At 52.0% G+C, this 14,483-nt stretch overlaps 2 annotated features.

Annotated features, from left to right (window-relative positions):
• Positions 1,048-1,097: an enhancer, noted in NCBI's record as "active region_1001". NCBI's record gives its function as "activates an Ori minimal core promoter by ATAC-STARR-seq in GM12878 lymphoblastoid cells {active_cell/tissue: GM12878}" and the evidence as "EXISTENCE:reporter gene assay evidence [ECO:0000049][PMID:35858748]".
• Positions 13,586-14,306: an enhancer, noted in NCBI's record as "H3K4me1 hESC enhancer chr1:46898417-46899137 (GRCh37/hg19 assembly coordinates)". NCBI's record gives its function as "activates a minimal SCP1, AML or CMV promoter by ChIP-STARR-seq in primed H9 embryonic stem cells {active_cell/tissue: H9 hESC(primed)}" and the evidence as "EXISTENCE:reporter gene assay evidence [ECO:0000049][PMID:30033119]".

A 14,483-nucleotide genomic window follows, 5' to 3' on the forward strand; every position in this document is an offset into this window, starting at 1 on the left:
ATGATTAACCTGACCCTGCAGCTGGCCCCTGCGGCCTCATCTCCTGCCCTTCCTCAGTGCTCACAGCCCGGCCACGTGGCCTGCAGGTAATGTTCAGAACACCGAGTGATCTCCCGCCTCCACGCCCTTTGCTCTTGGTGCTTGCTGTGCCTGGAGTGTTGTTCCTGGGGTCTCCACCTAAAGACCACCTACTCGTCCAAGGTGAGGGCAATTGCTCTTCCAACTCTGTCAGGCTGTGTTGAAAGAGCTTCTTTGTGCTTCTGCACGTGGTCAAAAGCAAGGTCTGTGTATTAATAGAACCCAACATCTGTTAGGCTGTGGAGTTGAATACCCATTATCTCATTTGGAAAGTGGGCATTACTATTTCCATTTAAAAAATTTATTTATTTATTTATTTTTTGAGACAGAGTCTCTCTCTGTCGCCCAGGCTGGAGTTCAATGGCACGATCTTGGCTCACTGCAACCTCTGTCTCTGGGTTCAAGTGATTCTCCTGCCTCAGCCTCCCAAGTAGCTGGGATTACAGGCGCCTGCCACTGTGCCCGGCTATGTTTTGTATTTGTAGTAGAGATGGGGTTTCACCACGTTGGCCAGGCTGGTTTCGAACTCCCGACCTCAGGTGGTCCACCTGCCTTGGCCAAAGTGCTGGGATTACAGGCGTGAGCCACTGCGCCTGGCCTTTTTTCTTTTCTTTTTCTTTGAGATGGCGTCTTCCTCTGCCACCCAGGCTGGAGTGCAGTGGTGCGATCTCAGCTCACTGCAGCCTCCGCCTCCTGGCTTCAAGCGATTTTCCTGCCTCAGACTCCCGAGTATAGCTGGGACTCCAGGCGCCTGCCACCATGCCTGGCTATGTTTTGTATTTGTGGTAGAGATGGGGTTTCACTATGTTGGCCAGGCTGGTCCTCAACTCCTGATCTCAAGTGATCCGCCCGCCTTGGCCTCCCAAAGTGCTGAGATTACAGGTGTGAGCTACCGTGTCTGGCCCTATTATTTCCATTTTATACATAAGGAAACTGAAGTTCAGAGGGGATTGCTGACTTGTTGAAGGCTGATCATTATGGGTTACAGAGAAGACTTGAAACCCACACGCTCAACTCTAAACTTACTGTGACTTCCTCATTTGTACAATCATCACAAGAACATGCATTCAACATTCTTCGGACACCAGCCTCTGTGCTAGGCGACCACAACACTTTGAAGACAGAAGCAGTCCTGTGTACTGTGCACCTCTGCCAATATCTGTTTACAGGAGATAGCTGCCATGTCCCTGTCCACCCTCCCTTTTCTCTCCTGGCGATTGCGATATTGGAGTTTTAGGACACAGCCAGAGCACTTGTCATTTGTTCCTGTTGGACACCATTTTTAGGATTATCCCAAGAGCTCTGGCTGTTTCTGCTCTTCCTCCCAACATGTGCTTATCCACAAATCTGAGCACTGGACCTCTGCAACTTCATCCAAGTCACCCATAAACCTATGGATCACAGCAGACCAAGGAAAGGGCGTGACCTACACCCTTAACAGACAGACACATAACCGAGTTTTGAGCTTCCCAGCCAGATGTATCTTTAGTTCACATTTCTCTGGCTGGGCTTAGCTGGGCCCTCCCAAGTTTCCTACACATAGATTTGGGGTGGCGGCCCTGGGCACCTCAGGAAGGTGAAGCCACTTGGGATCGGGCTGTGTATGCTCAGCACCCAGCATGGTGCCTGGTACTCAGTGGGTACCCAGAGAAGGCTTGTTGAATGGAGCAATGGGTGACTTGTTATTAGGGAACCCATTTTGGTCCATTCTGATTACTTCCTCTTCTCACCTCCAATAGGGAATTTTCCAATCAGTCCCTGACCCTTTGCTCCTTTCACATTTATTGTATCTACCTCCATGATCTTTTTTTTTTTTTTTTTTGAGATGGAGTCTTGCACTGTTGCCCAGGCTGGAGTGCAATGGCAGGATCTCGGCTTACTGCAACCTCTGCCTCCTGGGTTCAAGCGATTTTCCTGCCTCAGCCTCCGGAGTAGCTGGGATTATAGGCGCCTGCCACCACGCCCAGCTAATTTTTTGTATTTATAGTAGAGATGGGGTTTCACTATGTTGGCTAGGCTGGTCTCGAACTCTTGACCTCAGGCAATCCACCTGCCTCAGCCTCCCAAAATGCTAGGAGCCATGATCTTGATTAGTGCCCATGAGGACAAATAATTCCCAGTCTACATTCAACCTATAGCTTTCTCCTGGTCTGTAGATCCTCATCTATCCACTTCTCTCATCCTCTTAACTCCTTCATCTCTCTCAGGCTGTTGAAAGAGCTTCTTTGTGCTTCTGCACTTGGTAGAAAGCAGGGACTGTGTCTTAATAGAATCCAACATCCGTTAGGCTGTGGAGTTGAACCCATTATCTCCTTTGTAAAATGGGCTTATTATTTCCATTTCATATATAAGGAAACTGAAATTCAGAGAGGGTTGCTCTCTGAACAACAATGGAGGGTTGCTCCCTCCATTCATCCTCCCATCCATGCAATAAAAATATTGAATTCTTCCCACAGTATGTTCAGGGTAACCAATCAGAAATAGTCCCTGCCTGAATGGAGCTTCCATTCTACCAGGAAACAGACATCAAATGTAGAATTACACAGAAACACTCGTTAGAAGTGCAATCAAGCAGAAGCCCTGGGTATTATGAGAATAAACCACGTGGGATCTGATCCAGCCTGAGATGTGTGTATGTGTGTGTCAGGGAATGCTTCCTGGAGGAAGTAACATTGAAGCTGAAAACTGCATTGTCACCTGAGCCAAGGAATGAGTGTGTTTCAAGGAGGGTGAAGCTGACAACTCTAAATGCTGCTGATTTACTCTTGAGGAGATCACTGGGATGATATAGGCACAAGCCAGACTTTGTTGGGTGGGGGAGTGAGTGAAAGGTGAAGAAGTAAAGGCAGCCCGTGTAGAAAACTGGAAAAGTTCAGGAAGCGGACAAAAGACGTGGTAGTAGTTAGGGAGGGTGTAAATCTGAGGGAATCATCCCTCATCCCCCAAGATAGGAGAGACTTAGCATGTTAAATGCTGCTAGGAAAGAGCTAGCAGCAACGCACAGAGGGGGGAAGTCAAGGTAGGAATGGAGGGCTCAACCTGCCATCATTTCTTCACTGAAGAGATACCATTGAACACATACCATGTGCCAGGTGTTTTGAAAAAGGCTGACAAGGTCTATGCTCCCCCAACCCCCCAGCTAATTTTTTTGCATTTTCTGTAGAGATGGGGTCTTGCCGTGTTGTCCAGGTTGAGCTCAAACTCCTGAGCTCAATTGATCCGCCCAAAGTGCTGGGATTACAGGCGTGAGCCACTGTGCCTGGCCTCGTCTGTGCTTTTACGGAGCTTATTTTCTAGGGAGGGAGGCAGGAGGTGAGTTACAGATCAACAAGAAAACTTCAGCTAATGATAAGTGTAATGATGAGATAAAATGAGGTATGTGGTAACGGAAGGGTGTAACCCAGGAAAAGGTGAGGTCACGAGGCCTAGAGTGCTGTGCCGTGGGATGTGGTGCGGGTGACAAGTGGCCTGGGGGAGCTGAAGATATGGGGGAGAGCTGGAGTTCATGAAGGTGGAGTGGGGGCTATGGAAGAAAATGGTCAGAAAAGAGGCAGAAGGACAGAGGAGGGCTGGTCTGGAGGCCCCAGGGAGATGACAGAGTGTTACAGAGTGGGCAACTTCAGGGTCACCCTTAGTCAACTGCTGACCTCGCATCTGTTCCTTTAGACCCTCGGGTACTCAGACTCAACATTACCAACCATGAATTCAGTTCCTTCCCACCCTAACCTGCTGCTGCCCTGGCTTCCTGGTCTGGAGGGCAAAGGCGCCATTCTCCTGGGTACAGTGACTTGCAGTCTCAGTGATGACCATTGAGATGGAGACTGGATGGAGGCCCCTGAGGAGAGCAGAATGGTTCCCACATCAGGGCCCCTCTGCACCACTTTTCCAGTCTCCTCATGTCTTCTCTGTTCCTCGTCTGGGAAGTCATCTCCCTTACCCCCACAACTCCCCTCCACCAGCAGGGAGAGTCAATAGACTGGGGAGGCTGGAACCCCGGATCAGAGTCATGGCCTTGCTTTGGAGTCAAGGGGGAAGCCCAGCTGGGCGGGCTGGTCTCATGTCCTGGCATCATCTCCCCTGGGGTGGATGCCTGATGAGCCCTGCCCGCTCCTCCAGGTGTTCTTTCCTTTCCTCTCTTCCTGTCCCCCAGAACCTCCACTCTAGGCAAACATGGCCTGTTCAGTTCCACCTCCATGCGTCTGCTTATGCGGAACAAAGGAGCTTTGGGAGAATCCTGAAGGCAATGGGAACCCCAGGAGCAACCCCATCCATAACTCCTGAGGGTTGGAGTAGGGAATCTGAGGGGTGGGATCTGAGAGGTAGGATGGGTGGGAGTAGGATGTGACAGAGGTGAGGTCAGCTGCCCAGCTGCAGGCTTGGGCCCTTCTTCAGGCTCGCCTGCTAAAGCCTCTTCCTCTGCATGGCCCGGGAGATAGGGGTTTTGTCGCCAGGAAGTCCAGATGGGGTAAGAACTAGGAGGAGGTTGATCACTGCCACACCCAGGGCCCGAGATGTGCGTGGGTGCCCTGGCAGCATCGCTGACAAATACTCCTGAGGAAACAGCAGCTGGATTCACACAGGTCGTGCAATACCTAAGGTGGCTTGGCTGTTTGACTCCCTGATGATGCTACTTCTGCTGGCCCTGCTGGGGGCTGGCCTACTGGGGGCTTCCCTGCTCACCTCGTGGCATGCTCCAGCCCGGAACAAGATCCCCAGGGCCCAGAAGTGGAGGGAGGTAGCACTGCAGAAGATGGAGGACCTGGCCCAGTGACTCCGGCAGCAGGTGAGTCGACACGGGTCCCGGAGGCCCCCAGCCACAGGGGGCCTTGGCCCTCAATCCCAACAGGAGGACTACACCTCAGGATGCCCCTCCCGTCCATGACCCCAGCCCCCGCAGACACAGGGAGCAGGTGGGCACTTCCCCACCCCCAGTTCTCCCCCCATGCCAGCTCTGTGTGTGGTTGTCAGTTCTCCTCCATCCCCGGCCTTTGAGACCCTGGAGATTGGGGGCAGTGTATTCTTTCTCTGTTCTCCCAGCACTTGGCACGTGGCTCAGTAACATGGGAGGTGCCCACTTAGGGTATTTGCGGAAATAAGATAAACTGATGGAGGCCATTGGAGGAGGGAGGCTCGATCTCTTTTAGCCCCTGAGCACTCCAAAATCCCCCAAGACAGGAACCCTAGTCTACCTGTCCCCTCCTACCTCCACCCCATTCAGCTCTGAAAACACTTGCTGAGCCCTGATAAGTGCAGAGCATGGGGGGCTGGGGATGGGGTCTCCCAGGAAGCTGCAGGTCTTCAGAGGCAGCTTTGGCAACTCGGAGTGGGGGTATTTCACTGGGATAGCCTCTGTGGCTGGCTGGGCTGAGACTGGCAGGCGAAGTGGCTGAGCCATAGATGTATCAGCAAAGCCTGCCCCAGGTGGCAGAGAGAAGGGCGGGAAGGAGGGACATGGAGACAAACATAGACTGAGCCTGGGATTTGCTGTGTGGCCTGGAGGATGTGACAACCCGTCTCTGGGCCTTGGACTCCCCAGCTGTCTGAGGGGGGATGGGCTCATGGTCTCTCGGGGTCTCCAGCTTTGGTTGATGATGGTGGACTCAGTCTGGGAGCCCGGAGGTAGGGGCTGGGGCTAGTGCCTGAGGTGCTGTTCCCATGCTTTGGAGTTCCTGAGTGTCCTCTGCTGTCCCCTGGATGGTGATTGATGGCCCCAATGGGCAGCTTCTCTGTCTGAGTTGCTGCAGTTGCTGAGTATGTGTATTAATATTAATTAGGGCTAATTAGTTGGATAAATCAATCTGCCCCCAGAGAGCAGCTGCCCCTCCCTGGTTGATGAGGAGGAAGTCTGGGCTAATGGGTTGCAGTGGTGAATGGGCATGATGGAGGCGTCCTGTGTGCGTGTGGAGGCCCCATCTGTGTGCGGTGGTGGGTATAGCTTCCTTTACTGCGGACGAGGGCCTGCTTTCTTGTGCCTCCTGCTGGCATTTCATTGTGTTGTGGTTGGTTGTGTGTCTGGTCTGGCTGTGTGGTTATGTGCCTGGCTGGGTGTGCATGTGTTGGGTTATTGGTTGGAGTGTGTACATCTAGCTATGTGTGGCTGGTGTGGGTCTGAATGTCTGGTAGAGAGTGTTTGTGTGTGGTTGTGTGTCTGATGTGTGGGGGCAGCTGGTTTGGTATGTGTCTGGGCATCTGGTTGGTGAACATGTGGATGTCTGGGCTGTTGGGCTGGGGACCTGGAGGGGGTATATGTCTGGATGGCTGGAGGAGTGGAAGAGGTTTTGGGGTGAGGTCACTCATGGTGTCTCCAGCCTCCCATTGTGGTTTCAGGCTTCTTGGCTCTCAGCACCTTGCTGTCTCCCCAACAAGCTATACAGGTCTGTCCTGGGCACCTTCTCAGTCATGTCACCCTCTCTCTGCCAGTGACAACCTCGAGACCTCAGGTGTCCACCTTTATGTCCCGGGGAGGTGCAAGGCTGGGACACAGGTCAAACCCTCACAGGCTCAGCAAACAAATTCAATTCTGCTGAGTTTAGTAAAATTTCCCAGGGAATTTCTCCAGGTCTTGCCCTGTGCTGAGCTCTGGGGACACATTCATTATAAAGATGAATCTGACCCCTGACTCACACTTGTGCTAAAAATGTTCCCAACCTGGGAGGGGCGTGGTGGAGATAGAGCTGTGCAGACTATGCAGGGCAGCAGCACGGCAGAGTGTGGTGAGGCCAGATGCCCACAGAACTGGTGACTTGGCAGGAGGGTGGCTGGTCTGTCTGGAGAGGATCATGTTGGGAGGGCTCCCCAGACGGGTGGTGAGTGAGCTGAACCTCATGGCACCTGTAGGACTTTTCTGAAAGGAGAAACGAGAAAGGCAGTACCAGGGAGGGAGAAGCCCCAGATGAGGCAGTGTTTCTGTAGAACGTATAGAAAATAATATTCCTAGGACCCATTGGGTAAATGGACCAGCTGCTCATGGCTGGAACTGCTCAAGCTACTCATGGCCAGGAAGCTCTGCTCACCTCAGGCAGAGCCTGGCCACCTTGAGAGTTGACGGTTTTTATGATACTAAACATTTAACCACCACATTGGAATTTTTTTTTTTTTCAGACGGAGTCTCACTTTGTTGCCCAGGCTGGAGTGCAGTGGCCTGATCTCAGCTCCCTGCAACCTCCACCTCCCGAGTTGAAGCAATTCTCTTGCCTCAGCCTCCAGAGTAGCTGGGATTACAGGCAAGTCCCACCAAGCCCAACTAATTTTTGTATTTTTCGTAGACATGGGGTTTCACCATGTTGGCCAGGATGGTCTTGATCTCTTGACCTCGTGATCCTCCCACCTTGGCCTCCCAAAGTGCTGGGATTACAGGCGTGAGCCACCGTGCCCGGCCATAAATATTAATAATACATTGATTCACTAAAAACTTTAAATTACATTTTTTTTGTTTTTCAAACTAGGCTGGAGGCAGCACCCTGAGTACAGAGAAGGCTGGATGTCCGTGGGGCTGTGGGATGGAGCTGGAGGGAAGGGTTAGCTCCAAACTAAATTACATATTAAAAAGTGATATAACTTGAGGCTCAATTTTTCATCAAATTATTCAAATAATTTGTTGATTTTTAGCTTTTTTTTTTTTTTTTTGGAGACGGAGTTTCGCTCTTGTTGCCCAGGCTGGAGTGCAATGGCATGATCTCGGCTCACCGCAACCTCCGCCTCCCAGATTCAAGCAATTCTCCTATCTCAGCCTCCCAAGTAGCTGGGATTACAGGCATGCACCACCACGCCCAGCTAATTTTGTATTTTTAGTAGAGATGGGGTTTCTCCATGTTGAGGCTGGTCTCGAACTCCTGACCTCAGGTGATCTGCCCACCTCGGCCTCCCAAAGTGCTGGGATTACAGGCGTAAGTCACCGCGCCCGGCCTTTTTTCTCTTTCTTTTTTTTTTTTTTGAGACAGAGTTTTGCTCTTGTTGCTCATGCTGGAGTGCAATGGCGCAATCTTGGCTCACTGCAATCTCCGCCTCCCGGGTTCAAGTGATTCTCCTGCCTCAGCCTCCTAGGTAGCTGGGATTACAGGCGCTCACCACCATGCCCGGCTAAATTTTTTTTTTTTTGGATTTTGAGTAGAAACGGGGTTTCACCATGTTAGTCTCGAACTCCTGACCACAGGTGATCCGCCCGCTTTGGCCTCCCAAAGTGCTGGGATTACAGATGCTCGCCACTGCGCCTGGCTAATTTGTTGATTTTTAGAATTTGTTGTGAGGATCCTGTGATGTGGCTATCATCTTTTGAAAGTTGTCCCTGTCTTTCAAAGCGCTCCTGATACATTGGAGTCATTAGGTCACTTGCAGTCTGATTAAGGAGAGTCTTTCTCTTAACGTTAGTGATATTGTTCCGTGGGTGGAGTCCTCTCTCAGCTTTTGCTGAACCAGTAGCAATTACACTCACAATTTTCTAGCTTTTCTAATACAGTGTTAGATTTCATGTAGTTAAGCATCTCTGTTGTCAATTAAGTAATAAACATTGTTATTAGAATGTCATTAACACTAATTAGAAGTTGTCTAGCATGGCAGCTAAGAGTGTGGCTTCTGTTGTTGGGCTGGCTGTTTGAATCCTGACTCTTGACACTTTTTATTTTGTTTGATTTTATCATTTTACATTGTCTTGAACTCCTGGCCTCAAGCAATCCTCCCACCTCAGACTCCCAAAGTGCTAGCATTACAGGCGTGAGCCACCAAACCCAGCAAACACTTACACTTAAATGACTACTCTGTATCTTAACTTCTTCATCTCTACAATGGTATGATGATTGTAATGATAGCACTCAAACAAGTTAATAAATGTTTACAGTGGTGCCTGGTACACAGCAAACACCATACAGATGCTCCTCGACTTACCGTGGGGCTTCATCCTGATAAACTCATCCTAAATTGAAAATATTGTAAGTTGAAAATGCACTTAATACATACAACCCACCCAACATCATAGCTTAGCCTAGCCTTTTTGAAACATGCTCAGAACACTTACATTAGCCCACGGTTGGGCAAAATCACCTGGCAACACAGTACCCTGTAGAGGATTCACTGTTTCCCTTGTGATTTTGTGGCTGACTGGGAGCTAGTCTTGCTGGCACTGTCCAGTATCGAGAATCAAGAGAGTATCTTACTGCTTTTTTTTTTTTTTTTCTTTTTTTTGAGACGGAGTCTGGCTCTGTCTCCCAGGCTGGAGTGCAGTGGCGCAGTCTCAGCTCACTGCAACCTCTGCCTCCCAGGTTCAAGAGATTCTCCTGCCTCATCCTCCCGAGTAGCTGGGATTACAGGTGTGCGCCACCACGCCCGGCTAACTTTTGTATTTTTAGTAGAGACAGGGTTTTGCCATGTTGGCCAGGCTGGTCTTGAACTCCTGACCTCAGGTGATCCCCCCACCTTGGCCTCCCAAAGTGCTGGAATTACAGGCGTGAGCAAACGTGCCCGGCCTTTTACTGCTTTCCGATGAATGTATATCAATCGCTTTTGCGCTACCGTAAAGTCAAAGATTGTAAGTTGAACCATGGTAAGTTGGGACTGTCTGTACAAGTGATAGTTCTCACTTTAGGAATGAAGCTACTGTTGTTGTCCATGGTGAGTGGGTATTTTGGGTGAGCAGAATATGTTCTATTAGATGGATGTGACATTCTGTCCTCCCAGGTCCCTGGAGCGCCTGCTGTGGTCTCAGCAGCCACCTGCAGAGGTCACATTAGCCACTCCCCAACCCCTGCCCTTGCCTGCTCTTCCCACCTCTCCCCAAGCTCCCTGAGAGTCAAAGTGCCCCAGAGGCTGCCATTCCCACAAATGGCCATGCAAGGACAGCTGCAGGGGAAGGCTAGCCTCAGGGGCCCAGAGGGACACATTGGGCACTTGCCCATGGGGTGCCACCAGGGGTGTTGTCTCTCCAGGTAGAAATATAGAAATGGGGGCTGGTGTGCAGCTGCTGATGTCTCTGGGGTGCGTCTGGGGACCTGTGAGTGCAGGGAGGTCCCTGGCGGGGCCCGCTAGGGCTCCTTAGGGTTGGAGGGCGCAGGGCAAGGGATGAACCCAGGCTGGCCCTCCACAGTCCCTATGCCTAGAGGGTCCCTGCTGGGCTGAGCATTAACTTTACTTGCTGGACTGTGTAGAGAGGGTGGAGTCCTGGGGAGGGGCTAGGACAACTAGGGTGGTGGGGGGTGCCCAGCAGAGCAGCTTTTTGCCAAGTGACTCAGAAATGTTTCAGTAGTTTAGCCACTGGCATGGCTGTGGTGGTGCATCCTGGCTGAATGCTAGCCCTGTCCAAGGGATCTGTGTCTGGACCCTCCTGAGAGTCCCTGTGGCACACCAGCTGGGGAGCTCTGAGCTGAGGCACAGCAAGGAAAGGGACTGGACAGTGTGGCTGGAGCAGCATGCATGGGAGAGGCTGAGAGAGACAGGCCCACTGGACCCAAGCAGGGAAAGACCCTGGTCCAGTGCCTGGCACCTTAAAAAGCCTCCCTTCCACAAGATGCCCCAAGAGCCAGGAGAGGGTAGTGGTTAAGGTATGGACGGCCTGGGTTTAAGCCCAGGCTCCCCTGTCCTCTGACCTTGGGCAAGAGAGTTAGTCTCTCCGGGTCTCAGTTGCCTTCACTGGGGAAATGGAAACAGTAATAACAGCACTTAGCCAAGGGTTTTTGTGAGGATTTAATGAAACGGTGCAGTAAAGGGCTTGAGAGGGTTTCCAGCCCCACAGTGATACTCTGAATACTTGGTCAATGGGAATTGTGTACATCGAAGCAAGAACCCATGTTACACATTTACAGTGAAGGCTTTGCAAGTGGTGCTGGTGAGAATGGTGCTGCAATGTTATCCTGAGGGCTACTGGGACCTATTTTCAGAGTGGGCCTTATAAGATCTTAAAAGGATTGCCCAGGCTGCAGTGAAGAGGCTGAGTTGGAGGAGTGGAGGCCAAGCCGTGGAGGCCAAGCCAAGGAGGCCAGTGAGGAGGCCAATGAGCCAACAGAGAGAGGTCCTTAGGCAGGCAAGAGGCCTGAGGGTCCGAGGTGGGAGATACGAAGGAGTAGAACCACCTGCAGGCAGTGTGTGCAGTTAAGAATGTGGTCACTGGTGTTGGACTGCCTGGGTCCAGCTCTGCCACTTACTGGCTGTGTATCCTCGGGCAAAGAGGAGGAGGTCTCTGTGCCTCAGTGTTGTCTTCTGCTGTGAAATGAGAAAACGATGTGACCTACCTCTTAGGGTTGTTACAATTAAAAATTGTAAATTTTTAATTTACAATTTTCTTGGAGACAGGGTCTCATGTCATCCAGGCTGGAATGCAGCAGTGAGATCATAGCTCACTGCAGCCTCAAACTCCTGGCTTCAAGAAATCCTCCCACCTCGGCCTTCCAAAATTCATTATAGGCAATGACTGATTATATGCAAAGTGTCTGGAATAGGGCCTGGCACTATTAAGTGTTAGAACACATCCTAGTGTGATTATGTTAGCTAGTGTAACTATTATCAGAACTTGGGTGTGAGGGAGGACCTAGGATGATTCTGAGGTTTGTTGCTTTGGTGACATGCATGTCATCAATTGGGAATTTCAAGAAGAACAGATTTGGCTGAAAGAAGGTGAGTCCTGGGGAGTCTGTGTATATGTGGGTAGGTAAAGGGGTCTGAGTCCTGGCGGAAGAGAGGCCTAGGTTAGAGAAACAGGTGGCCTGCTTATCCTTGGGGTGCACCTGGCTGCCGAGGTCACCCATGGAGAGTGGGCAGGCAGGGAGAGAAAAGGTCATGCCCTGAGGAACACCAACATTTCAGGCAACTGAGAAGGAGCCACCTGAGGGTGGGAGGAGGCCAGCAGAGTTGGGGGCATAGAGAGCTTTGGGAGGGAGAGTGTCAGACGCTGCTGAGGAGAGTGAGATGAAGACTAACCCGAATCCATAAGATTTAGTAACCGAGAAGTCTTGATGCCCTTGGTGAGAAGGGGCCCAGTGCAGAGGGGAGGACAGATGTCAGACTGGTTGCTTTGAGGAATGAAAGAAGACAGACTGGAGCCAGGGGATCCTAACCTCCAAGGGAAATTTATTTGTCTCCACCTTCCCCCACCTCCAGGACCAAGAAAAGCCCACTTCTTGCCCAACCCATACTCCAGCTTGGAGGCATCGGGGTCTTAACCAGAGCTGAGGGGGGCAAGAGGAAGAGAACTTTGCCTTCCTGAGTGCCTGCTGTGTGCTAGACCTTTGTCATGTCACACTTGCCCAGGGCGGCAGTCCTGAGGGCCTGGTATCAGACCTCCCCTCATATCCTGAAGGACGGGGCTCAGAGCAGTTGAGGGGCTGACTCAGGATGGACTCCTAGTCCTTCCCTCTCTGAGGAGACCTAGGCCATGGGAGGAGCAGAGAACCACCTCCAGTTACCCAGCTGACCAAGGGCGCGGCCAAGATGGTGCTAACTCTCTTGCCACCCATGCTGGACTCCTGCCTCCCTAAAGTCAGCTCAGCAGGGGGAGGACTGGGTAGGGAGGAGAGGTGGGATGCCTGGGATGCCCCTGAAGGCCAGCCACCCAGGGCTGAACTTCACTTCCATAACCTCCAGTCTCATGATGTCACATGTGGAGTCACCCCCACTCCAGTTGTGACCCTTCTGAAGAGCAGCATGAAGGGGCAGGCCCTTCTCCACGCCAGGCCCTGGGCTGGCCACTGGGGGCAGAGGCAGAGGAGAACATCGTGCCCTTGGAGGGTTTTCATGACAACCTGGAGACACAACAGATGTTTTTAGTGCTAAGCATGAGTGCCGGAACATGTACCGAGAGACATGGGCGTGTGTGCAGCTGTGCATAGGGGAGTCTGGGGTGTGATGTGGAGTGTGTGGGAGTGGGCCTTAGCGGGTCCATCTTGGATATCTGCCTACTCCATCTCATTTCTGCAGGAGCCAGATCTGGACCCCAAGCCAATCCTGGAGCTGCCCCTGGCAGAGCTGGCCCAGCAGCTTCGGACCGAAGAGCTGAGTCTGGAGAGCATCCTCTGTAGCTACTTAAAGCAGGTGGTGGCCAGGGCACAGGATCCAAGCCCGGGGCTCTGGGCTGGAGTGGGGGATGTCACTTGTCATTGTTTTACTCAGAGGAGCTGAGGGGCAGGTGTAACTCTGCCACTGACTTGGGAGGTGGCACATGCCACAGTTACCTCAGGGTGGCAGGAGGGGCTGGGGCAACCGAGTGCCCTGCTTTGGTCCTGGCCTCACCTGGGGCTGTTGTCTGCTGTCTTCACTGTTGTGCAGGCACTGAAGGTGCACCAGGAGGTGAACTGCCTGATGGATTTCCTGGGGGAATGTGAGGAGGAACTGCAGGCATTAAAGAAGCTTAAGAAGAGTGAGAGAGGCCTTCTCTATGGGGTCCCCATGAGCCTCAAGGACACCTATGACAGCATGGTGAGCCTGGGGTGTACATGCACACGAATGTGCATATGCACGCTTGTGCCACCAGCCTGGAGCTTGGTGTGTGACACTGGGGGGCTCAGTGTGTGACAATGGGTGAGTCATTTAAAACTGCACAGCTACGAAGCGGCAAACTGAGGTTTATACCCAGAATTTGGGTTCCAAACCCCAAATTCTCAGCCACCACACTCTTTTGCCATCCGTGAAGTGCTGCGCTTGTGTCCCCAGGGGTGTGAGAGTGTGTGTGAGGGGGGTGGAATGGGGCTGAAAATCAGCCAGCTGGCTGGTTCCACCCTGACCCCCATGGCTGGAGGCAATGTTCCTTCCCTGCAGGGCCATGACTGTGCATGCCGCCTGGCCTAGTTCCTGGAGAAGCCTGCGACCAAGGACGGGGTCATTATGAAAGTGCTCAAGGCCCAAGGAGCCATCCCCTTTGTTAAGACCAACATCCCACTGACGCTGCTCAGGTCTCTGAAGCGGGCTAGCTGGGGTCGGGGGCTGGGCTAAGCCCAGGGCTGAAACAGCTCTTTGAAGTCCTGATTCAGGGCAGAGGGTGAGGAGGGGGCTAGTCATACAGACTTCAAAGACCAGGGTTCTTGGGCCAGCCCCTTCTGTCCCCGGGGCTGAGTTTCTTTATCACAGAACATGTGGATGGACTCCACAGTCTGTAAGGGCCCTTCGGGCTCCAAGGTTCTGTAAAGCTACACTCTTTTTCTATCCCAGTTTCTCTCTCAAATTGTTCTATTTCTACCCAGGCTTCTCTCTTTGATTGTTCTCCCCATCGCTTATTCTCTCCCTTCTCTACTCAGCCTGTAGTGCATCTGTGTTTCGTGAGGAACATGTTCTCAGTTCTGATGGCAGAGCTGTGGGCTCTTTGGTCCTGATATTAGGAGTCATGGCTGGTGTCTGATCTTGGTCTTTCTTGCAGCAGCAGCCCCTCACCCCAGCTGGAAGGGAGCCCAGGAAGCCTCAGCCTTAGGGAGGAGCTCATGGAGCCCAGGAAG

The sequence above is a fragment of the Homo sapiens genome, chromosome 1 (genome assembly GCF_000001405.40).
Source record: "Homo sapiens chromosome 1, GRCh38.p14 Primary Assembly".
In the NCBI taxonomy this organism is placed as follows: Eukaryota; Metazoa; Chordata; class Mammalia; order Primates; family Hominidae; genus Homo; species Homo sapiens.